Source organism: Homo sapiens, chromosome 10, assembly GCF_000001405.40.
Source record: "Homo sapiens chromosome 10, GRCh38.p14 Primary Assembly".
NCBI classification, from domain to species: Eukaryota; Metazoa; Chordata; class Mammalia; order Primates; family Hominidae; genus Homo; species Homo sapiens.
The window spans coordinates 670533-694263 of NC_000010.11; the positions used below are offsets into that span (position 1 = coordinate 670533).

At 51.1% G+C, this 23731-nt stretch overlaps 1 protein-coding gene across 5 annotated transcripts in view, besides 2 other annotated features; it reads right to left on the reverse strand.

Annotated features, from left to right (window-relative positions):
- The window catches only part of DIP2C (disco interacting protein 2 homolog C), a 415468-nt gene extending 396332 nt beyond the window's left edge, over window positions 1-19136 (reverse strand). For 4 of the 5 annotated variants that reach the window (NM_014974.3, XM_005252427.5, XM_005252426.4 and 1 more), the window contains exon 1: window positions 18962-19136. In NM_014974.3, the coding sequence (NP_055789.1) occupies window positions 18962-19046 (85 nt within the window). In that variant the 5' untranslated portion in view covers window positions 19047-19136. Of the gene's footprint in view, window positions 1-440; window positions 6022-18961 lie in introns of those variants that run through there. The other variant, XM_011519432.3, reaches the window with a different exon arrangement.
- Window positions 903-1403: an enhancer, noted in NCBI's record as "H3K27ac-H3K4me1 hESC enhancer chr10:717375-717875 (GRCh37/hg19 assembly coordinates)". NCBI's record gives its function as "activates a minimal SCP1, AML or CMV promoter by ChIP-STARR-seq in naive H9 embryonic stem cells {active_cell/tissue: H9 hESC(naive)}" and the evidence as "EXISTENCE:reporter gene assay evidence [ECO:0000049][PMID:30033119]".
- Window positions 19511-20446: an enhancer, noted in NCBI's record as "H3K27ac-H3K4me1 hESC enhancer chr10:735983-736918 (GRCh37/hg19 assembly coordinates)". NCBI's record gives its function as "activates a minimal SCP1, AML or CMV promoter by ChIP-STARR-seq in naive H9 embryonic stem cells {active_cell/tissue: H9 hESC(naive)}" and the evidence as "EXISTENCE:reporter gene assay evidence [ECO:0000049][PMID:30033119]".

Sequence of the window (23731 nt, forward strand, 5' to 3'; positions counted from 1 at the left end):
TGCACATCACATTAACATCTTATCCATTTTAAACGTGACCATTCCTGCCAACATCGGCCTGGATTAAGATGATTTCATTTACATAAGGAACAGAAAATATAATACTTGTTCTAATGAGATTCTCTAATCATTAGATTATTTTCACAATTTTAAGTAATCACTAAATAACTTCCTTTCAAGGGTCTAAAAATATAAGATAACAAAAGAAAGTCACAGTCCTGACAGCTTTACCATGCAAATCACAGCTGTGAAAATGAAGCATGTTTTTGAGACTATGTCTTCCTCAAATATTCTTCATGGAATTTTGTACCAGTAATGGCTGGTAATTAATTGTTATACCAGGTGGAAAAGTATATCATTCAGGGTATATGAAGTAAACATGTAGAGAGAAATGACCACACACACCTGAAACCAGGTCTCATTTCAAAACCGTTTCCTACCTTGGATTTGCTTAATTTACTTCATGAGGTGCCTCCAGGAGAGGAAGCAGAGCTGGGATCTGCCCCGAGGCCGCTTCAGGAAGAGCTGGGTGGGCACCAAGCCCCTCAGACCGAGGGCTCCGCTACGTGGCTATGACCCCATCCCTGCGGCTCCCCGAGCGTGTGTCCCTGTGTGTCACGCAAACCCCTGCCACACAGGGGACACATGCCACACGCCTGACACAGGCTCAGCACACAGCGATCAGTAAGTGGTGACTAGAGAGAAGCGACGGCCTCCAGCGTGGACGGAGAAAACAGGCCACAGGCTCACAGACAGAGGAAACACCACAGATCCACAGACGGAGGAAACGCCACAGACGCACGGACGGAGGAAACGCCACAGACGCACGGACGGAGGAAACAGGCCACAGACGCACGGACGGAGGAAACGTCACAGACGCACGGACGGAGGAAACGTCACAGACGCACGGACGGAGGAAACAGACCACAGGCGCACGGACGGAGGAAACGCCACAGACGCACGGACGGAGGAAACAGGCCACAGACGCACGGACGGAGGAAACAGGCCACAGACGCACGGACGGAGGAAACGTCACAGACGCACGGACGGAGGAAACGTCACAGACGCACCGACGGAGGAAACGCCACAGACGCACGGACGGAGGAAACGTCACAGACGCACGGACGGAGGAAACGTCACAGACGCACCGACGGAGGAAACGCCACAGACGCACGGACGGAGGAAACGCCACAGACGCACGGACGGAGGAAACGTCACAGACGCACGGACGGAGGAAACGCCACAGACGCACGGACGGAGGAAACAGGCCACAGACGCACGGACGGAGGAAACGCCACAGACGCACGGAAGGAGGAAACAGGCCACAGACACACGGAAGGAGGAAACAGGCCATAGACACACGGACGGAGGAAAAGCCACAGACGCACGGAAGGAGGAAACAGGCCACAGACACACGGAAGGAGGAAACAGGCCACAGACACACGGAAGGAGGAAACAGGCCATAGACGCACGGACGGAGGAAAAGCCACAGACGCACGGAAGGAGGAAACAGGCCACAGACACACAGACGGAGGAAACGCCACAGACGCACGGACGGAGTAAACAGGCCACAGACGCACGGAGGGAGGAAACGTCATAGACACATGGACGGAGGAAACAGGCCACAGACGCATGGACGGAGGAAACACCACAGACACACGGACGAAAGAAACACCACCGACGCAGGGACGGAAGAAACACCACAGATGCACGGATGGAGGAAACGCGCCACAGAGGCACGCACGGAGAAAACAGGCCACACACGCACGCATGGAGAAAACGCCACAGACCCACGGACGAAGGAAACAGGCCAGAGACGCGCACACGCCAGTGTGGAACATCGGACAGGAACGTCCCGGCCATGCACTGTCCACTCCCACTAGGGACTCCCCGCCCCAGAGCACCCAGGATGGCTGTGGAGCTCCTGCCGCCCACCCCAGAGGCGAGGCTGGGGAGCCAGAGATGAGCAGGTTCACATCCATCAAATGCGGCTGCAATCCCTGTAATAACTGGAGGTCACCATTAAACAGAAGGGCACTTCACTTCGAATGAAAGCACTCTGCATAAAAGAACTAAAGATTGGCTGGCGACCGCTTAGAAACCATCACAATCATTCTTGTGAGTGATGGCGAAGCTTCAAGAGTGGTCACTTTTCCTGTAGAAATGCCACAGAGGTGATTCCTGGAACTCATTTAGAATATTTCTTTTCCAGAAACCACACAACCAAGAATTTAATAGTGCCGTCTCTTGACCAGAAACATAAAGATTTCTGATGAAACTAAACCCTGCCCAGCCTCCTGATTCTAGAAGGTGCTATACAGAAAAGCTAACTCGGAGGGGTTGCATTTCTTTTGTCATCCATGACACACATAAAAAAAAATTACATGTACAAAAAATGTAGGAATTGTACAGTGAATACCCATGTATCAACCCCCTGGATCACAGATTAGATTTTAAATGTAAAGTTCTAAAGGTTCCCAGCTAAGGAAATGTGCAGTGTAAGCCTGTACCTGGTTAGAACCAAGGGGGATGGAATGAGCTTTCCCCGGCCTTGCTGCTCAGCTGGGAGGGGCTGCCACAGCTCAGCCACCCCACCCCAGAGCACCCAGGATGGCTGTGGAGCTCCTGCCGCCCACCCCAGAGGTGAGGCTGGATCCCCAATCTTGGTGTTAAGAGTGAGCCAGCCTTTAGAGGCCACGTGGTCTATACTTGAATAGAAAATGTTCCAGGAAACCAAAGATTCCAATGCCTGCGATGAATTCCTAACCATTTGAAACCCAGTCTCCTCATCTGTACAAAGAGAGCAATGCTGTCTCCTGGGAAAGCATTTCAGAAGGACGAAAAAGGATCCACATGAGAGCGGCTGAAAACTAAAAGGCACCCTACAATTATAAGATTTTTTCTATATCTTTGTTTCAAGGAATGTCAGCATTCTAAATATTGCTCTTCATCCCACATCACCTTTCAGGAGCAAATCATAACAATCAAAACTATCAGCAGAATCCCCACCCGCTCAGTCGCCGTGTGCTGCTTCTCCCTGCATGAGAATTCCTGCAGAAGACGGGGCCATCCAAGAATGGCTCCCTGCCATCATGTGCCCATACTCCTTCCCCAGGGAGCTATTCCTGTACTCATGGGGCATGGGAAACCTGTATAACGCCACCAGAACGTCCTTGTTTGACTTACACACTTCCCAGAAGGGCTGATTTTATCCAGAATCCTAACTGTGTCAAACACTAAACCTAACCAGTCATCAAGAAAACAAGGAAATGCAAGGCCGTCTCCTGCCCCAGGTGCGTGGCTACTAGGGGCGAAACAGAAAATGAGGCATGAAAGGAAACTTTTAAGATATTGAGACCATCACTGGAGGATTCCAGGAACCCATTACAGATCATTGCTGTTCCTAATAACAGGAAATGAATTCTAAAATCCCAACAGGGACGGTGAGTCCCTCACTTGTATGGAAATCAAAATAATAATCCATCACTATCTTCAAAGAGACAAAAGAAAAACTCTACTTCCTTTTCATATTAATTTGTGTACAAGTAACTAAGTGAGAAAATCTTAATGTCTGGACTGTGATATCAGTAGCAAAATAACCCCAAGCACCCCAATTAAAAGATATAGACTGGCTGAGTGGATTTAAAAAAAGAAAAACCAACTCTATGCTGCCTACAAAAAACTCACTTCAGCTGTAAAGACACACATAGACTAAACATGAAGGATGGAAAAACATGTTTCACATTAATGGAAATCAAAAGTGAGCAAGAGTAGCTATATTTATTTCAGATTAATCACAATTTAAGTTAAAAACTGTAAAAAGGAGACAAAAAGGTAATTATATAATGATAAGGAGATCAACACAGCAAGAGGACATAACAATTACAAATATATGTGCACCCAACAACAAAGCACCCAGATATATAAAGCAAATATTAGTAGATCTAAATAGAGAGGCGGGGTGCAGTGCCTCACACCTGTAATCCCAGCACTTTGGGGGGCAGAGGCAGGTGGATCACCTGAGGTCAGGAGTTCAAGACCAGCCTGGCCAACATGGTAAAGCCCTGTGTCTACTAAATAGAAAAAATTAACCGAGCATGGTGGCACATGCCTGCAATCCCAGCTACTTGGGAGGCTGAGGCAGGAGAATCACTTGAACTTGGGAGGTGGAGGTTGCAATGAGTCGAGATTGCACCACTGCACTCCAGCCTAAGCAACAAAAGCAAAACTCCATCTCAAATATATATATATATATATAGAGAGAGAGAGAGAGAGAGAGAGAGAGAGAGAGAGAGAGACCAACACAACAATAGTAGGGGCTTCAAAACCCCACTTTCAGCACTGGAGATCATCTAGACAGAAAATAACAACAAAATATCGAATTTAAAGTACAGTATAGACCAAATGGACCTAACAGACATTTACAGAACATTTCATCCAACAGATACAAAATGCACATTCTTCTCCTCAGCACATGGAACATTCTCTAGAATCAATCACATGCTAGGCTACAAAATAAGTCTCAATACATTTTTTTAAAATTGAAATCACATCTAGGATATTCTCAGACTGTAACAGAATAAAGCTATAAATCAACAACAAGAACTTTCAAAACTGTATAAATACATAGAAATTAAACAATATGCCCTTGAATAGCCAGTGGGTCAATGAAGAAATTAAGAAGGAAATTTAAAAATTTATTGAAACAAATGAAAACAGAAACACAACATATCACAGCCTACGGTATAGAGCAAAAGCAGTATTAAGAGGAAAGTTTATAGCAATAAACTCCTACATTAAAAAAAAGATTTAAAATAAACAACCTAACAATGAACTGCAATGAGCTAGAAGAGCAAGAACAAATCAAATCCAAAAGTGGTAGGAGAAAAGAAATAACAAAGATCAAAGAGGAACTAAATAAAATTAAACTAAAAAATACAAAAGATGGGAAAAAATGTTGGTTTTTTGAAAAGATAAATAAAATAGACAAACCATTAGCTACACTAAGAAAAAAAAAGAAATCCCAAATAAGTAAAATTAGAAACAGAAAAAGAGAATTACAATTGATACCACAGAAATACAAGGGCTCACTGGAGACTATTATGAACAACTATATGTCAACAGAGTGGAAAACCTAGAGGAAATCGATAGATTCCTGGACGTGTACAACCTACCAAGACGGAACCAAGAAGAAACGGAAATCCTAAACAGACCAATAATGAGTAACATGTATGACTAAGTAATAATAAAAAGTCTCCCAACAAAGAAAACCTCAGGACTAGGTGGCTTCACAGCTGAATTCTACAAATTTTTATTTCAATTCTTCTCAAACTATTCCAAAAATATTGAAGAGGATGGAATTCTGCCAAGTTCATTCTTCAAGGCCAGCATTACCCTGATACCAAAGTAAGACAAGGACACAATAAAAAGAGAAAACTATAGGTCAATATCCCTGATGAACACAGATGCAAAAATCCTCAACGAAATACTAACAAACTGAATCCAACAGCAAATCAAAAATATTATACACCACGATCAAGTGGGATTTCTCCCAGGATGCAAGGATGGCTCAACAAACACAAACCAATAAACACGCTACATCACATCAACAGAATTAAGGACAAAAGCCATAGGATCATTTCAATAGATACAGAAAAAGCATTTGATAAAATTCAGCGCTGCTTCATGATAAAAACTCTCAACAAACTAGGCACTGAAGGAAACATACCTCAACACAATAAAGGCCATATGTGACAAACCCACAGCTAACATAATACTGAACGGGGAAACACTAAGCTTTTTCTCTGAGATCTGTAGCAAGACAAGGACGCCCACTTGTACCACTCCTATTCAACACAGTACTGAAAGTCCTAGTCAAGAGCAATCAGGCAAGAGAAAGAAATCAAGGGCACCCAAAGTGGAAAGGAGGAGCTCTAATTGTCTGTTTTCAGACAATATGCTCTTATATATTAAAAAAAAAAAAGACTCCAGCAAAAATCTCTTTGAACTGATAAACAAATTCAGTAAACTTACAGAATACAAAATGAACATATAAAAATCAGTAGCATTTCTATAGACCAACAATGAGCCAGTGGAAAAAGAAATCAAGAAAGCAATCCCATTTAGCTACAAAAATATAAAATAAAAATAAAAATACCTCAGAAGAAATCTAACCAAGAGGGTTAAAGATCTCTATGAGGAAAATAATATTCTACCCTCTGAGGGTAGAATAGTGGATTCTAGAGACAGGAAAGGGTGGCGGGAAGGGAGAAAGGGAGAGGTTAACTAATGGATACAAAATTACATCTAGATAGGAAAAATGAGGTTTAGTGTTCTATAGCCTTGTAGGGTGACTATAGTTTACAACTTATTGTATATTTTCAAGCAGCTAGAAGAGAGGATTTTGAAGATTCCCACCATTAAGAAATAACAAATGTTTGAGATGATGGACATGCTAATTACCCTGACTTGCTAATTACACATGACAAACATGTATTGAAATATCACGCTGTATCCCATAGATATGTACTATAATGTGTCCATTAAAAAGAATAATTGTTAAAAACCCAAGTGCTATTTCTCATTTGTCCTATGTCAATGTTGTGGTCCATTGGTGGAGACCTAACCACTTGCAAGGAAGACTATAGTCACTTGAGCTGAAAGCAAATGAATCACCACAAAAACTACCACTGGCACCAAGTCTTGTTTCCAGAATTTCCTGCCCACAGCACTGCCACAGTCACTGTGGGCAGGAAAGACACACTAGCCACCAAGTTTCAACCCCAGCACAATTGAAGCCTTTATTTCTCTGGTTTGGAATAGGTGTGTGTTCATAACTTACATTTACTCCAACTGCCCCCTTGCTTAAATAGCTCCTTAAGGATGACTTCCTGTTACTAAATCCCAACAGCTTCTGAGTATCCATTATATTCTCCAAAGTAAATAAAAAGAGAAAATGTGTTGAAAGCCTGATAATGTTCACTTAAGAATCCAGCATGATGTACTGCTTGAAACGGACACTCCACCTTGTTCCTTTATGTTACTTTTAAAGTAGTCCCAGTTATTATACATAGTTGAAGCCATAATTTCTGCAATACCATTAGGTCCACAAAGGGTGGGGCCAGGGAACTTCAAAGTCTGTCTCTGATTTTTTTATTTAAAAAGGAAAGCTTATGAGAGTAGGTAATGAAAATAAATATTCACACAACTCGGAACAGGGGATGGTGAAACATAAAGCCCCAGCCTGGCCAGGTGTCCAGCCAGTGAGGGTGGAGACCCAGACTCATACAGTCCCCACAATCCCCCAGAAGTGCCACAGACAGGTGGGTGGCCTGAGACAGAGCCAGGCTCCGAATTCCAGGAGCTGTCTGGCTCATGTGCACCCGGCGTGGTCCAGTGCATGAGGATGCCCCACGTCACCAGTCCCAGTGCAGAGCACAAGAATGCCCATGTCATGAGCCCCCGCTGCAGAGCATAGCCCGAAGGTGCCAGCCCAGCCTCCTGCACACACTGGCCACCAAGGCACTGCCCTCCAGGAAGGAGGACCTCAGAGGTCGTGGCAGGGTGAGGTCCTGCTCTTCATCATCCCCGAGCAGTGGGGAAAGTCCCAGCAGACATTTGGGGAGTCCCTACAGGTGGCTCTGGAACTCTGAGTGGAAGTTTAAAGATGTCCCCAGATACACCAGACTCAAACCTAAAACAGGCCATTCTTCCAGATATGCCCAGACTGGAACCTATATAGGCCATCCTTCCCAGCTTTCCTCTGGAAAAGCAGGCTTAAAAGAGTATCGACTAAAAGGGGCCACCAGGAAGAGAGAAGTCCTATCTTTAAAAAAAGAAAGAATTTTTTAAAAAAGAGGCACTGAGGCTCTGACCCATCTGAGCACAGAGTACGTGTTCGGCAGCATCTGTCAGAGCAGAGGAAGCACACACGCACTCTCCATACCCTGTGCTCCCAGCACCCGTCCTCCCCGCACCCAAGCTCCCCACACCCGTGCTCCCCGCGCCCATCTCTGCTCCCCATGCCCATGCTCCCCACGCCCGTCCTCCCTGCAGCCATGCTCCCCACACTCGTGATCCCCGTGCCCATCTCTGCTCCCCATGTCCATGCTCCCCGCACCTGTCCTCCCTGTGCCCAGCTCCCCACGCCCATGCTCCCCACACCCGTTCTCCCCACGCCCATGCTCCCCACACCCGTGCTCCCCGCGCCCATCTCTGCTCCCCATGTCCATGCTCCCCGCACCTGTCCTCCCTGCGCCCATGCTCCCCACGCCCATGCTCCCCGCGCCCATGCTCCCCACACCCGTGCTCCCCGCACCCATCTCTGCTCCCCACGCCCATGCTCCCCGCACCCATCCTCCCCCCACCCATGCTCCCCGCGCCCATGCTCCCCGCACCCATGCTCCCCACACCCGTCCTCCCCGCGCCCATGCTCCTCACACCCGTGCTCCCCGCGCCCATCTCTGCTCCCCATGTCCATGCTCCCCGCACCTGTCCTCCCCGCGCCCATGCTCCCCACACCCGTCCTCCCCGCGCCCATGCTCCCCACACCCGTGCTCCCCGCACCCATCTCTGCTCCCCACGCCCATGCTCCCCGCACCCATCCTCCCTGCGCCCATGCTCCCCGCATCCGTCCTCCCCGCGCCCATGCTCCCCACACCCAGGCTCCCCGCGCCCATCTCTACTCCCCACACCCAGGCTCCCCGCGCCCGTCCTCCCCACACCCCTGCTCCCCGCACCCGTGCTCCCTGTGCCCATCTCTGCTCCCCACGCCCAGGCTCCCCGCACCCATCCTCCCTGCGCCCATGCTCCCCACACCCATCCTCTTCGCGCCCATGCTCCCCGCATCCGTCCTCCCCGCGCCCATGCTCCCCACACCCAGGCTCCCCGCGCCCATCTGTACTCCCCACACCCAGGCTCCCTGCACCCGTCCTCCCCACACCCCTGCTCCCCACACCCCTGCTCCCCACACCCGTGCTCCCCACGCCCATGCTCCCCACGCCCATGCTCCCCGCACCCATCCTCCCCGCACCCATCCTCCCCCCACCCATGCTCCCCACACCTGTGCTCCCTGCACCCATCTGTGCTCCCTATGCCCATGCTCCCCACACCCGTGCTCCCCGCACTCGTCCTCCCCATACCCATGCTCCCCACACATATCTGTGCTCCCCATGCCCATGCTCCCTGCATCCGTCCTCCCCACGCCCATCTGTGCTCCCCATGCCCATGATCCCCGCACCCGTGCTCCCCGCACTGCGTTCCCTGCGCCCATATCTGCTCCTCGAGCTCCCTTCCACAGATTTCCTCTGTACGCCCTTCTTGATAGTCACTGTCACCTGGAATCGCCTGGATAAATGGAGGTAAAGAAAATAAATGGAGGACCACATTGGAGGACAGAGTGGAAGCGGCTATTTACCAAGCAGGGCTGTGAGATGAGCGCATCTGATCCACATTAATCCTGACAGTCGGTTTATTAGCCCCATTCAACAGCTGGGGACACTGAGGTGGGGAGGGATGGGCTTGCTTACCCTGGACGATGCTGACAGTGTGGGCCCAGCCCGGTCCCACAGCCACCAGGAGGAGGCTCCTGAGCAGGCAGGCACAGAAGTGCAGCCCAGAGAACGCTTGGGACCCTGGCACAGACTCCTCAGGAAGGAAGCAGAGAAAGGCCCACAGAGACTCAAGCAGCACAGAAGAAGGTCACCCACAAGTTAAAAATAGATGTTTGTGCTTTACCGTCCCAGCATGCTAAAAATCCAACCCGCTCACACGCACGGCCTGACATGAGCCCGGCCTCCTGCAGCACTGGGCCAAGCGAGAGATGCACCTGCCCCTCTCCCAACAATGGCAGGCTCGGCAGCTGCTCTTCAATGTACTTGACACCCTTCCATGAGGATTAAGCTACACTGTCCGCACTGGGTAATTTTAATCCTGACACAGCTAACCGTGTGGATCTGCAGCACAACAAACAACCTGCTTAGGATGATTCTATCACTGACAAAGACGCTGAATCTCCCAGCAAAGCCCAGTGACGTTTCTGTTTTCATTTCAGGTAAACTGGCCCACACGGTCTAGTTTACCTGCTGATAATTCCTTGGAAAGACCATCAGGGGAGATCCACACCATTTTCAGCTTTACAGGGATGTGAATTTCCATGCGATGAGAAAGGGAATGGGGAAATAAAACAAGGATTCAAAACAGATTGTTCTGAATTGTTTTGCCTGTGTGCTTCCTGGGAGTGGTAAAGTCAAGAACTGCCGCTCTGTGTCAGGCGAGGGAGTAATAGAGACAATGGCACCAACTCCTGAGACAGAGGACCTGACACATGGTGCAGCCACCGCCTGTGGCCACGGAAATTCCAGGGAATGCAGACCCCAGTTGCCTGGTGCAGCCACCGCCTGTGGCCACGGAAATTCCAGGGAATGCAGACCCCAGTTGCATGGTGCAGCCACCGCCTGCGGCCACGGAAATTCCAAGGAATGCAGGCCCCAGTTGCATGGTACAGCTACCGCCTGTGGCCACGGAAATTCCAGGGAATGCAGGCCCCAGTTGCATGGTACAGCCACCATCTATGGCCACAGAAATTCCGAGGAATGCAGACCCTCAGTCCCATGGTGCAGCCACCACCTGTGGCCACAGAAATTCCAGGGAATGCAGCCCCTCAGCTACATGGTACAGCCACCATCTATGGCCACGGATATTGGGAAACACAGACCGCAGTCACATGGTGCAGCCACCACCTATGGCCATGGAAATTCCAGGGAACACAGACCCTCAGTCACATGGTATGGCCACCGCCTGTGGCCACAGAAATTCCAGGGAATGCAGACCCTCAGTCACATGGTACAGCCACCATCTATGGCCACAGAAATTCCGAGGAATGCAGACCCTCAGTCACATGGTGCAGCCACCATCTATGGCCACAGAAATTCCAGGGAACATAGACCCCAGTCCCATGGTGCAGCCACCACCTGCGGCCACAGAAATTCCAGGGAATGCAGCCCCTCAGTTACATGGTACAGCCACCACCTATGGCCACGGAAATTCCAGGGAACACAGACCCTTAGTCACATGGTACAGCCACCATCTATGGCCACGGAAATTCCAGGGAACACAGACCCTCAGTCACATGGTACAGCCACCATCTACGGCCACGGAAATTCCAGGGAATGCAGACCCCAGTCTCTAAAGTGTTATTTGTTTTATGAACTTCACTGCAGTGATTGTGGAAGAGTTTCTCTCTGTGCAGAGCTCAGCATCCAGAAGGGAAGTTGGCCCCAGGAACGCCTTCCTCCTCTTCAGAGCTCAGGGCCCAGGGCTAAGGCCCTTGGGAGAGGTCCCTGTTCGGCAACTGTGCCTGTGGAGGGCCCCCCAACACTCACCGTGTATCTCCTAGGAGCAGAGGCTGCAACAGGGACCCAGAGACCAAGCCTCTGCTCAGGCAACAGTGAGCTGATGGCCTTCCACTCTAAGTTCCAACTGCATGGAGTGTGTATTCCATGAATGCTTGTTAAATGAATGATTCACATAATAAGGTCTTCTGTGCTGACCTTTGCTGGTCTGCTGACCATGGGCTTCAGAGCATAGACCTCATTCCTGGAGCAACCAGCTCTTCCCAGAGCAACGGCCGCTGGAGGACAAAGGCCAGGGCTTCTTCCTGCAGCAACGCACTCAGGACCCTGCGCTGGGCACACTGGGGCCTCTCCAGCAGAAGATCCCCAGCCCTGACCTTGCAACACCAGTGAACCCCAGGGGAGCCCCAAGTGCTCAAAATCAAGTAAATGTCCATTGTGATTTAACATACCAATTTTAGAAGAAAGGGCAGATTGCCACCTCCCTCCTCAAACTAGGGACCATAAATCGATACAAGGCCTTAACTGAGGCTCTGCCTTAAATCCTGCTAAAACTACCAGCCAAACACCCAAATTTACATTAAAGTTAAAGGAAAAAAAAAAACTAAACCAAACACCTGTAAGAAATGGTCAAGTAAACTGTGATACATCAACCCAAAGATTAAACATTAAAACGATGAAGTAGCAAGATATTAAAAGAATACAAACTCTATGTACGTCATGGCTCAAGGGTTCTAAAATTACACAGAGACAAAGACTGGAATGGAAGGGGGATATGTTTACAGATACATTTTTTATTTTTTAATTTTTAATGGTATATTACTTCTCTAATATATGATTTGACTAACCAGATAATTCAGCAAAAAAAAAAAATCAATCGTGCCTATAGATAAATATGTAAAGAATCCCTCTCTCTGATGCCAATGGAATTAGTTTGGGTCCGGCCCACAGTCTTCAATCTTTGAATTAAGACACAAAAACCATCTTCCAAGCTATTAGCGAAACAAAAAATGATTTAAAACCAGGAGCCCAAAAGAAAAGACCTACCATCAGTCACAGCATCTCTCCACGCCTCTCTACCCTGGACAGTGTTCCTTCTTTCCCCATTTTCATACCTACTGCACAAAGCACTTAGTAAAAAGTTATCTCAATTCATGAGTCGCGCAGCACAAAGGGCCGATGTCACTACCAACATACCCCGCAGCCCAAAACCGAAGCAGCAACCCCCAGCGAAGGGAAAATGAGAGGCTGCTGGTTGTAATTGTAAATCTCACAACTCAATGTCTTAGCACTTTCCTGCCTTGTTGCTTTCAAGGGCTTATTAAAATTAACTCCCCTACTGGATATTGAAGAAAGAAGGCAGGACGGTTGTGCAGGCTCCGAAGAGGCGGAGCCCTCGTTCCGCAGCCACCGCTGTCTTTCTACCCACAGCAGCCGGGTTTACCAATTAGTCTCCCTTAAAGGGCACTGTTTATGATCATCACCAACAAATGGATGCAATTACTTCTTTTGAGATGTAGCAAGTTTTTGGCACAATAGTCATAAACCCTGCATGGCACACACACAGAAGGAAGATTAAAGCCCTGGAGGTGGAGGCGTTCGGGAAGGGAAGGTGGAAGCAGGAAGGACACCCACAAGATAGAGTGGTCAGAAACCGACCACGTCACCAAAGGGCGCCATAGACGTTCCAGAGGACAAAATGCCCGTCTTTCCAGGGTAAACACCCATTTGCCAAACAGCCAGTGACGGCAAGCAGGAGTTTGCTTTTTTAAAGGCGTCTGAGTAACGATGAGAAGAGCAAGAAATGAGCTTAATAATGGGACTGACGGGGCCCTGGGCTGGTGACTCAGCCAATGTGCACAGCATCAAAACCCAGGTTCCTCAGTGCGCTCCCTCTGCAGTTCAGGAGAGCGCTACAACTCACCCCATAAATCACTGATTAAAAAAAATCAGTTCTAAAAAAAGAGACGACCCATTTGAAAGCAGCTGGGAGGAGGAAGACAGTGACTCACAGAATCCAACCGCTTGTAGCCTCGGAACCATAACAAGAATATGAAACTAGCAAGTCCAGTGTGAGGCAGAACAGAGACGCCGTCATGGCTCTCAGGAGGCTGAGCGGGAAGCGCGTGGCTCGGGCCCCTAACGGCACCTGGAGCAGCCTATGGGCCTGTGCCCTTCATGTGGGTTCGCTTTCCTAGCTTCCTGGCTAAATTTGATGTATAGCATTTATTCGCCAAGAAAAGAACATTCAAATCAAACTATTGTCATAACTCTGAAGGACTCTTAACATTCCAGTCCACACGTTCAAAAGCCCACACATATCAGTGCTGCCACTGTGCAGGTCACAATGTTTTCAATGCATCTTGCACGCAACCAGTAATGATGTTTTCAATGCATCATGCAGGTAGCCATCTCATTCAGGATACTTAAATATCTGTGACGACTTGATACTTAGTTATCTGTGACTTTCAGATAGATGTAACAACGCTACCTGGCCAAGAAGTCCTCACCCTCCTGAACCCACTGACCCTCCTACCCTCCTCTCAGTTACAACAAACTGTCCGTGAGGCTCAATGAAGCTCAGCTTTCCCACGTTTGTTTTTTCAGAGTAAACTATTTCTTTTCAATGAAAATAATGTGTACAGAGTCCTCAGGACCTTCTCTTAGGCTCTGGAAGGTGGTCCCCTGGTCAGCTCTTACACAGGCGTGTGACTTCCTCACTGTGCAGGGTGGAACCTCCAAGAAATGCACAGGGCTGGGGGTGCCGAGGGCAGAACTCCATTCCAAAGCCACAAATATCTGTGACCTTGTGCCAAGTGTCCTGAAAAAGCCACCCCCAAAACCTACAAACCTCCCACTGGGCCATCATTTTAGGATCCCCTCTTTGGCGACAGCAACGTGCAGGCTGTGTGAAGACCATGTCTCTGTACTTGACACGTATTCATATGTGCTAACAGTAACACACACAGCCAGGCACGGTGGCTCACGCCTGTAATCCCAACACTTTGGGAGGCTGAGGCAGGGGGATCACCTGAGGTCAGGAGTTCGAGACCAGCCTGGCCAACATGGTGAAACCCCATCTCTACTAAAAATACAAAAAATTAGCCGGGTGTGGTGGCGGGCACCTGTAGTCCCAGCTACTTGAGAGGCTGAGGCAGGAGAATCACTTGAACCCAGGAGGCGAAGGTTGCAATTAGCCGAGATTGCACCACTGCACCCCAGCCTGGGCAACAAGAGTGAAACTTGGTCCCCAAAAAAAAAAAAAAAAAAAAAAAAAAATATATATATATATATATATATATACATATATATATATATATATATAAACACACGCACACAGGTCCCTCAACCAACACAGGAAGACCTGGCACGTGCGCGAGCCTTCACCTCCCTCTGCAAGCAGGTTCTCCCCTGCTGAAAAAACATTAGGCTGCACTACTGTGGAGCATAACTGCTCGCTGAAGGAATCGGCTACATTAACTAGCAGAGCAGAGCATGGAGGATGGAGTCAGTGGGCATGGAACACGCTGACAATTACCAAAGCCACAGAGTACAAAGCATGGCACCTATTTTTCAAAACTTCTCTTCCACCAAAAACCAACAATTTTTGCAGGCTATATTATGAGTTCTATCAAAATAATTCAGCACCTCCTAAACAAATGGGAAAGAGCTCCTTCTGAAGCATGCACTGCCCAAAAAGATCAGTGACCAGTCAACAGAGAAACTTACTTCCTAATTTGAATCAACAGCTAAATGCAATCTTTTTTAAAATAATAATAATAATAATAAGACATGAGTCTGGGCACAGTGGCTCATGCCTGTAATCCCAGCACTTTGGGAGGTCGAGGCGGGCGGATCACCTGAGGTAAAGAGTTCGAGACCAGCCTAGCCAACATGATGAAACCCCATCTCTACAAAGGTACAAAAATTAGCCAGGTATTGTGGCGGGCACCTGTAATCCCAGCTACTCAAGAAGCTGAGGCATGAGAACCACTTGAACTCAGGAGGCGGAGGTTGCAGTGAGTTGAGCTCATACCACTGCACTCCAGCATGGGAGACAGAGTGAGACCGTCTCAAAAATTAAAAAATAAATAAGACATGAGTTTGTCTTTATGGGGAAGTTTTCTGCTTCCACTCCAATTTGTTTGGCAATTCCATGTAAAGTATCAGTTATTAATGAAATTATTTTTAGGCCCTTTAAAGCCACAAAAAAGAATACCCAATTATAAAGGGCAAAAATGTAGGGAAGAGAAGGGAGAAGAAAATATTCTGGGGAAAGGAGTATGAGAAAGCAGCCGCCACAGCCCTCTCATTCCTTGACCCTCCCCAGAATGGAGCTCCAGATCACCTGGAGGCCTCCCCACCCTCATGGCCTCCTCACCTGCAGGGCCTCCTCAGCCACAGGGCCTCCGCACCCTCACGGCCTCTCCACCTGCGGGGCCTCTCCACTAGCACAGCCTTCCCCCCACGTGGTCTCCCCACCTGCACAGCCTCCTCACCCGAGGGGCCTCCGCACCCTCATGGCCTCCCCACCTGCACAGCCTCCGCACCCACACAGCCTCCCCACCCGCACAACCTCCCCACCCACACAGCCTCCTGACCGTGTGGCCTCCTTACCTGCATGGCCTCCTCCCTGGCTCACACTCAGACCCAAGTATGTGAGGAGATGACCCCCCTGGCCACACAACCTGAATGTATCCCCACATGGATTCGAGGCCATCAGCTCCCACAAGAGGGCTGCCCAGCACTTCTCCCCACAGAGAGCCCTTGTGTTTTGCTGGCCGCATGCTCTGTGGTGTGAGCTGGCCTCACCTTCCCCTGTGAGGGGGCACAGGGCACGGGACAGGGACAGGCAGTGGAAGAAGGATGGAGCCCTCGGCCCCGCAGCAGGAAGTGCCCCTGCAGCCCTGCAAAGCAGGACACCAGCAGTGCATGTAATGGCGCCCAGCAGGCGGGCACAGCAGAACTGGACCAGGGTCTAGAAACCCACACAATGCGTAACCCACGCAGGCTGGCAGCCCACACAGGAACCTCAGGGGAATGCTCTACTCTTTCCTTCAGTCTATGTTATGTGCTTAAAACGGAACTTTTTCCATCCTCCTCTGTAGGAAATGAGCACTGGAAATTCCACATATGTTTCTATAATATTTTCTGATATTTTAATAAAATGATGACAACCAACTTAAAGAATTCTCTCCACTTGAATTTTGATTGAAGATGGGAAATAATTCAGCATTAACAGCTGTTTTCAGCTTTCACTCTGAAAGCAGATACATTGAGGAATTTTTGAAGTCCAATAACATAAAGAAACACAGAATTTTGATCCTTCAATTCTTGGATTTCTATTAAGCAATACTGGAAAACAAGTTGATTCATCTAATTTAAGCCTGTAAAACTGTTTTATGTGGTTATGAGACAGAGAATTCCAAATGACCTTACAGCACTACCCCCATAAACTCAACCTGGGCAAACCCACACTTCACAGCAAAGTTAAAGACCATCCAGCAAACAGATGAGGCAGTGGGGCCAGCACAGGCCGGAGGGTGCAGAGAGGCTGAATAGAGCCACGGAGCAACCCTCTCACCCTTTCTTCTTAAATGTGTAGCTCAGATCTCAGCAAGATTCATGTGGAAGGAAAAATATAATTAGGCTTCCTGCATGCAAACACACACACCCCTTTCTCTGCCTGGTCTCTCAATAAGAAACTAACTCATTAAGCCCTTTTTAAAAAACCTGTACAGACGCAAGGTGTTCACAGGGAATTCGGCTGAGCACACCTTCGTCGAAAGTGGCTTTGCCATCATCTGGGCAGCAAGACAGTATCACTCACCCTCCAAGAGCAACTGACAGGCAAGTGTCGTCACCTCAAAAGGCCACAATGCCCAACACAGGACACCCATTCCCATAGACATCCCAGACTCTGGGAACAAATGTGGGTCCAACTTCTGGGCTAGCAGTGGGTGGGGGAACCCTCAGATGGGGCTCGCCCTGCTGAGCTCAGGGGCGCTACGCTCTGCTGACCTGGATGGGGCACTGACACTTCACATCAGTGTGATGCAGGCAGCACAGAAGCCCCTGTCCTGAGACAGCGAACACGGAGGGTGCTGCAGGCAGGGGTGCACCTGGGCCGAGACGCAAGCCGGGAAACCTACCCAAGGCTGACACAATCAGATAACCAGGGTGGGCCTTTTGCAAATGATACACTCCTTACCCACCAAACGAGCTGTCTGCACTGCACAATCTACTTACCAGTTTACATCCGAACCCTGCACACGGCAGCTCCCGCCTCCTAGCCATGCCCTCCTCATCCTCAGCTCCTCAGGAGGGCAGCAGCCAAGCCCACAGGCCTGGAAGACTCTGCCCCCCGCCAACTGTGTCACGTTACAGGACACTGACACACCTCGCGGAACCCCACATCTGAAACTGAAAAACAGTACCATTTCCCGTCCCCAGAAGTCTGGAAAGGCAGTTGGCTGCACACCATGGCCCCTGCTCACTCCCTTCTTTGCCCTGAAAGTGTTAAAAAGGAAAACATAAAGTCAACACCAGCTCCTCCCTGCCGGTGAAAATTGGCACGAATGAGTTTACTTTCTGGCTGCCGGCCCTCACAAAACCGTTACCCAAAAAAAGTTCACCATGCTAAACTGCTCCAAATATAAATGTGAGACGCGCCGGCCCACCCCCACCCCACCCCACGTTACAGGAATGGCCTGACCAGGATGAGCCCAGAGACGGCTAAATGCACATCAAACATTTCAGATTTGGGAACTTCAGTGGTTTTGGGGAAAAGACCTGGCAAAGCCCGATCTGAAACTTATGACAGTTGAGCACATGATCTCCGCCATGAAGAGCAAATAAGAGGCGTACACAACCCTCCATAAGACCGCGGTGGCTGATCTGCCACAAACCCTCCTACGAGAGGACCAGGACGGCAAGGCCGGAGCCCGGCCCGGGGGGAGGTTGACGATTCCGCCCAGCCCTCCCCGCGCAGCGCCCGCGAACAATGGGGGTGGGATCCCCCGGGCCGCGCCAGGACCGCTGCACGGCCTGAGCCACCAGAGATCGAACCCGGGGTCCAACGACAAGTTTCGCATTGAAATCTGGCCGGGCGTTCCAGGCCGAACCCGCCAGCGAGGAGGTGGCGCGCACCGCGCTGCTGCACCAAGGACGCCGCGGCTCCAGCGCAGAGCGCACGGGAAGGCCGATCCCGCCGGGCCCGCTGCATCCTGCGTCCCCGCGCGGCGCCCAGGCCCCACAGACACCCCCAGGGCGCGGGGGGATCGCGGCCCCACAAACATCCCAGGGCGCGGGGGATCGCGGCCCCACAAACACCCCCAGAGCGCGAGGGGATCCCAGGCCCCACAGACACCCCCAGGGCGCGGGGAATCGCGGCCCCACAAACGTCCCCAGAGCGCGGGGGATCGCGGCCTCACAAACGTCCCTAGGGCGCGGGGTCTGGGGGTCCGGGGGACGCGCACGCTCCGGGCTGGGGTCGCACCTCCCCCTCCGGGCCCGGCCCCCGCCCCGCCGCAGGCCCCGCGCCCCCAGCCCTCCGCGCGCGGCCCTCCCCGGTGACAGCGCGGCCCGGCCCGGGGCGGGGGCCCGGTTACCTTCCGACAGCTCCAGCTCCAGCTCGGCCAGGCGCGCCCGCACCTCCAGGGGCAGCGCCATGCCCTCCAGGCTGCGGTCCGCCATGCTCCGCGGGCGCCGCGCCCCGCACGGCCTCCTCTTTGTTCGCAGGCGGAGGTCTCGGCGGCTCCTCGCGCCCGGCGGAACCGCACCGAGGAGGAGGCGGCGGCGCGGGCGCGGGAGGCGGGCGGCGGGCGCGCAGGGACCTCCCTCCCCTCGGCGCCTCCTCAGCGCGGCCCCGCCACGGCCGCCTCGCGCGCCCCCGCGCCCCACGGTCCCCGGCCCGCCCCGCGCGCGCTCGGCCCCTCCCCGCAGGCGCTGCGGACCCGGACCCGGCCCTGCTGCTCTCGGCCCCGGCCCGGCGGGAGCGTCTCTGCGCGCGCGCGTCACGGGGCCGCGGGGGCAGGGCGCGCGCGCGCGGGGCGCGAGGACGCGCAGGAGCGGGAGCGCGCGGGGGGGCGCGCGGCCGCGTCGGCGAAGCGCGCGCTCCCGGGGGCGCGCTCGGGGGCGGGTTGGGGGCTCGGGGCCCGCGGGGCGGGGCGGGGCGGGGCGGTCTTGTCTGTCCTGGGCTCTGCGCGTCCAGCGGAGCCTGCGGGCCCGGCCCCAGAGCCTGGTCCACCCGGCTCCCTGCGAAAATCACGTCCTGGAGCCGCAGCTTGACGTCTGCGCGAAAACTCGCAGTGCCCCGGGTCTTGGAGGGCTGGTTTTTTGTTAATGAACATTTTAAGAGGCGGAGACGGAGCGCTAGGCTGGAAGTTTCGAATGCAACGACCAGCAGATGACCTTGAGCGACTCTGAGCCTTTGCCTGGAGGGTCAGTGTCCCCATCTGTGAAAAGGGGATGGGAAGACAAGGTTGGGTCACCTAATCTCCAAATGCCAGGTGGGCCCGAAAAGCCTGGCTCCAGCCCTCCCGGAACAGGCTGCAGGCCCCAGGGTTCCCACCGTCCTTCTCCTTGTGGGGCCATCAGCTCCCAGCCTCAGTGCCACCTCGGCGAGGCTGAAGCCCCGTCTGTGCCTCTAGTCCTGACCATCTGGGGAGGCCCTCGCATCTCCAACCGTCCACTGAGCAAACTTCCCTGGAAGCCCCTAGACACCCCAAACGCCACAAACCCTAAATGAAGCCAGCTGCTTCCAGTGACTCTTAGTCACTGGAAGTTCTGCTTCTCAGAACCGCCCCCGTTGTCTTCATCATCACCTTCCTCTGTCTCCACACATCCTCCCCAGTCTGTTGCACAAAGCCCCGACGACCTGGCCTCCTTTTCATCCTTGTACCCCCTCTTCCCAGCCCGGCCCCTCCCTTAGGCCCAGAGCTTCCTAAAGACCTCCTCGCCTCCCCGTCCTCCACGGGACATTGGCCAGCGCTGGCTCCCGGAGGCCCAGCTGCACTCACTCCCCTTTCAGAGTGGGCCGCAGGAACACAGGTCCCCCACCTCACCCCCCTACCCCTACCCCCCACCACCCCCCCACCCCGCTTCGACCGGAGCCCCCACCAGCCGGGACCCACCTGCACGGCAGCCTTGCGGCCTCCACACTCCGGCTCCTGCAAACAACGCGGCTGACCCGCAGCACCTCTGCTCCCGGCCTCCACCCCGGAGAGCCTGCCCCTTCTCTGCCCCTGCCACCCACAGCCATCCCTGACCCCAGGTCCAGAACAATCTCTCTCCTTTCTCTTCCTGCACCGGCCACTTCCCGCCCTCATCACGTTTGACCTTTTTTATCTTCTCTGTATTCTTTGTGAGTGTAAGCGCCTGGAGGACAGAGCCCATGCCTCACCCACCTTTGCCCTTCCCATGGATCTAGCAGTGGTGGCAACCGCCAGAGGTGTGTGCATTTCCTGTAAGGATCGGTCCTTTCAGTGGGGAATTGTGAGAATGACATTCGACGATGAGCTGGGAAACAGGAACCCCAAACCCGTGTGCTTCCTGCGCCGAGCCGTGTGCCTCCGCCTGGTGTGCGCCGTGGGTTCGTCCTTCGCTCCAGACTGCGTTCAATGCAACAGATACGGGTGGCACAAGCATGTGGCCCCACCATCATCTCTCCCCTTTGCATGATAAAGAGACCGACCAGCAATGCAGGGGCCGTGGGGAAGATCCCACACAGCCCCTACACGTCACAGATAAAAGTCCTTAGAGACAGAAAGGGGAGCAGAACCAGGATTCAAACCCCAGTCTCCAAAGCAAAGCCCTGAGTTCATTTCATTACAGCAAAGATGCACTGTGCATTCCAAGCAATAAATGGTGTCAAGTCCATTTAGGGCGGTATAATGTCGGAATAAAAAATATATATTCGCGGGCCAGGCACGGTGGCTCACACCTGTAATCCCAACACTTTGGGAGGCCAAGGCAGGTGGATCATGAGGTCAGGAGTTCAAGACCAGCCTAGTCAATATGGTGAAACCCCATCTCTACTAAAAACTACAAAAAATTAGCTGGGCATGGTGGCACACACCTGTAGTCCCAGCTACTCAGGAGGCTGAGGCAGGAGGATCACTTGAACCCGGGAGGTGGAGGTTACAGTGAACCGAGATCGCACCACTGCACTCCAGCCTGGGTGACAGAGCGAGATTCAGTCTCAAAAAAAAAAATACATATATATATATATATATATATATATATATATTCTTTTTGATGGGCCTTAATCATTTGCATATGATCCTATGACTGATGTTGGTTGCAAAGAAAACTTGTAATTTGCATTAAACACATCAATTGCAAACTCAGATTTTGAGCTGATGGTTCCTTTCAGCAGGTCTTTGGGCACCTACACATTACACGTGTGAGTGTGGGCTCTCGGTCTTAGACTGCCATTTCCAGGAGCCTGATAGATATCATCTTTATCTGGAACTCCTACCATCTCCTTGAAATTCATGCTGTCCACAATCAAACTCATCCTACCTACCAATACTTTCCCCCATGTACATTATTTCTGAGAGCAGCCTCCCTTTCACTTTGAGTCCCCTCAAGAACTTCTACCCACAGCATTTCTCTTGTGCGCCACCTGCTCCTGTCGAGGCCTCTGGCTATGGCCCATGTCAGGCCTTCAGAGCCTCCTTCCAGTCTTCCCACCACGGCTGTCAGATCACTCTTCTAAAAAGTCCCTCTTAGCACAGACCACAGGCCCCTTGCTGTACAACCCATGATTCTATGCCTGCAAACTGAAGAAATCCTTAATTGACACCAATGGTCTCACGAGCCCTGCACTAAACATTTCTCCTGCTTTCTGTTCCTCCCGTCTCTTTCAAGCTCCGAGGTTCAGCTGCAGAATTCCCAGCTGTCCATGGAGAGTCCCCACCTGTGGTGTCTGTTTTTCTAATGTGCTCCCTCCTGTCGTCTCCCCTTCCCCACAACCTGAGTCATAGCCGCACACGGAATTTCACCCAGTCCAGTCCAAGTTCAAACGCCACTTCTTCCATGCAGCCTTCCCAAATCTCCTGGTTAGAAAGATTCTCTCCCACCTGTGGAATTACACACCTCTTTATCCACCTGCTCTCCCTGGGATTGGTCATTTATGTGTGTGTTTTGTCTGGTGGCTGGCTTATCTATAATTGTCCCATTGTGTTGACTGACACCACAAACAGCATAGTGCCTCTGTCTGGAAGTGCAGACCAGCACAGGAGCGGAGAGGAGCAGCCCCTTCCTCGGTCTCATTCTGCTCCACCTGTGAGCAGCCTTGCGGAACGTGTGGTTGGTGAACACCTTGCCATCTTACGTGTTCCTAAGTGTAAAAACCTGGTTCAAATGTCTGCCCAGGCAGGAATGAAGGTGCCCAATAGATGTTTATTAGAATGAATCAAATAGACTCCCAGGGCTGTTGGCTTCAAAAGCTCTGCCAAACCCCCGAAATTTCCATCAGGGATTAAAGTCACGTTTTTGAGCTACTCCACAGTTTTGCCTAGACAAGTCTCGAAAACAGTGTTGTGAGCTCCACAGAGCGACAGCTACATGTATCTAATTAAACAATTAATTAATTACCATGCCAGCTAGTATTTGAGGACCCGTTTCTAGGTCTTGCTTTACTGTCTGCTGACGGGTAATTCGTCACCATTATTTACCCTAACTTCCAGGACCTCACCTATTTTTTTCTGTCTCACTGAATTCCAAGCCAATTCTAATGAGTGAAAAATTAATTACTTACGTGTAATGGGCTCGAGATTTCAGGAAATCTGACTGGGGTGGGAAAGAGTAGCAAAGGAATGTGTTGAATCAGAGCAGGCTGGAGGTATCGGTGCCAGGCAGAGAGTTTATTTATTCATGAGATCGCTAACAGGAAGGAAACACAAAGCTCTCAGGGAGTGGCTCCCCTGCAGAAATGCATCTCAGAGCTGCACCTAGACTACCTCCCTCTTTATCAGATTAATGGAAAATTGTTCATGCTGCACTCTCCCCTGTGTGCCCCAATTCTGTGACTTTTTTTTTTCCTTTTCCAAAGCTACTGGAAGAGTAGGTGGTAAAACACTGTGGCTGGCGTCCCCCAGGTACTTACATCTTCAATCCTCTGTATGGCCGGGGGAAGCAGGGGTTACCATCTCATTGTGACAAAATCTTCCTAAGCTGCAATTTCCACACAGAACCGTGGCTGGAAGCTTATGTTTTGGGTTATGTTTCATTCTTGTCTTACCATATTATCAGAAATTCAGCTTGGGTAGACTAAGGAAAGGACAAAAGTGAGTAATCGCCTGACACAGAAAGCTTGGGTTTAATTAATTAGTATTTAGAAAGCAACTTAAGACTCCGGAACGCAACTCATCTAT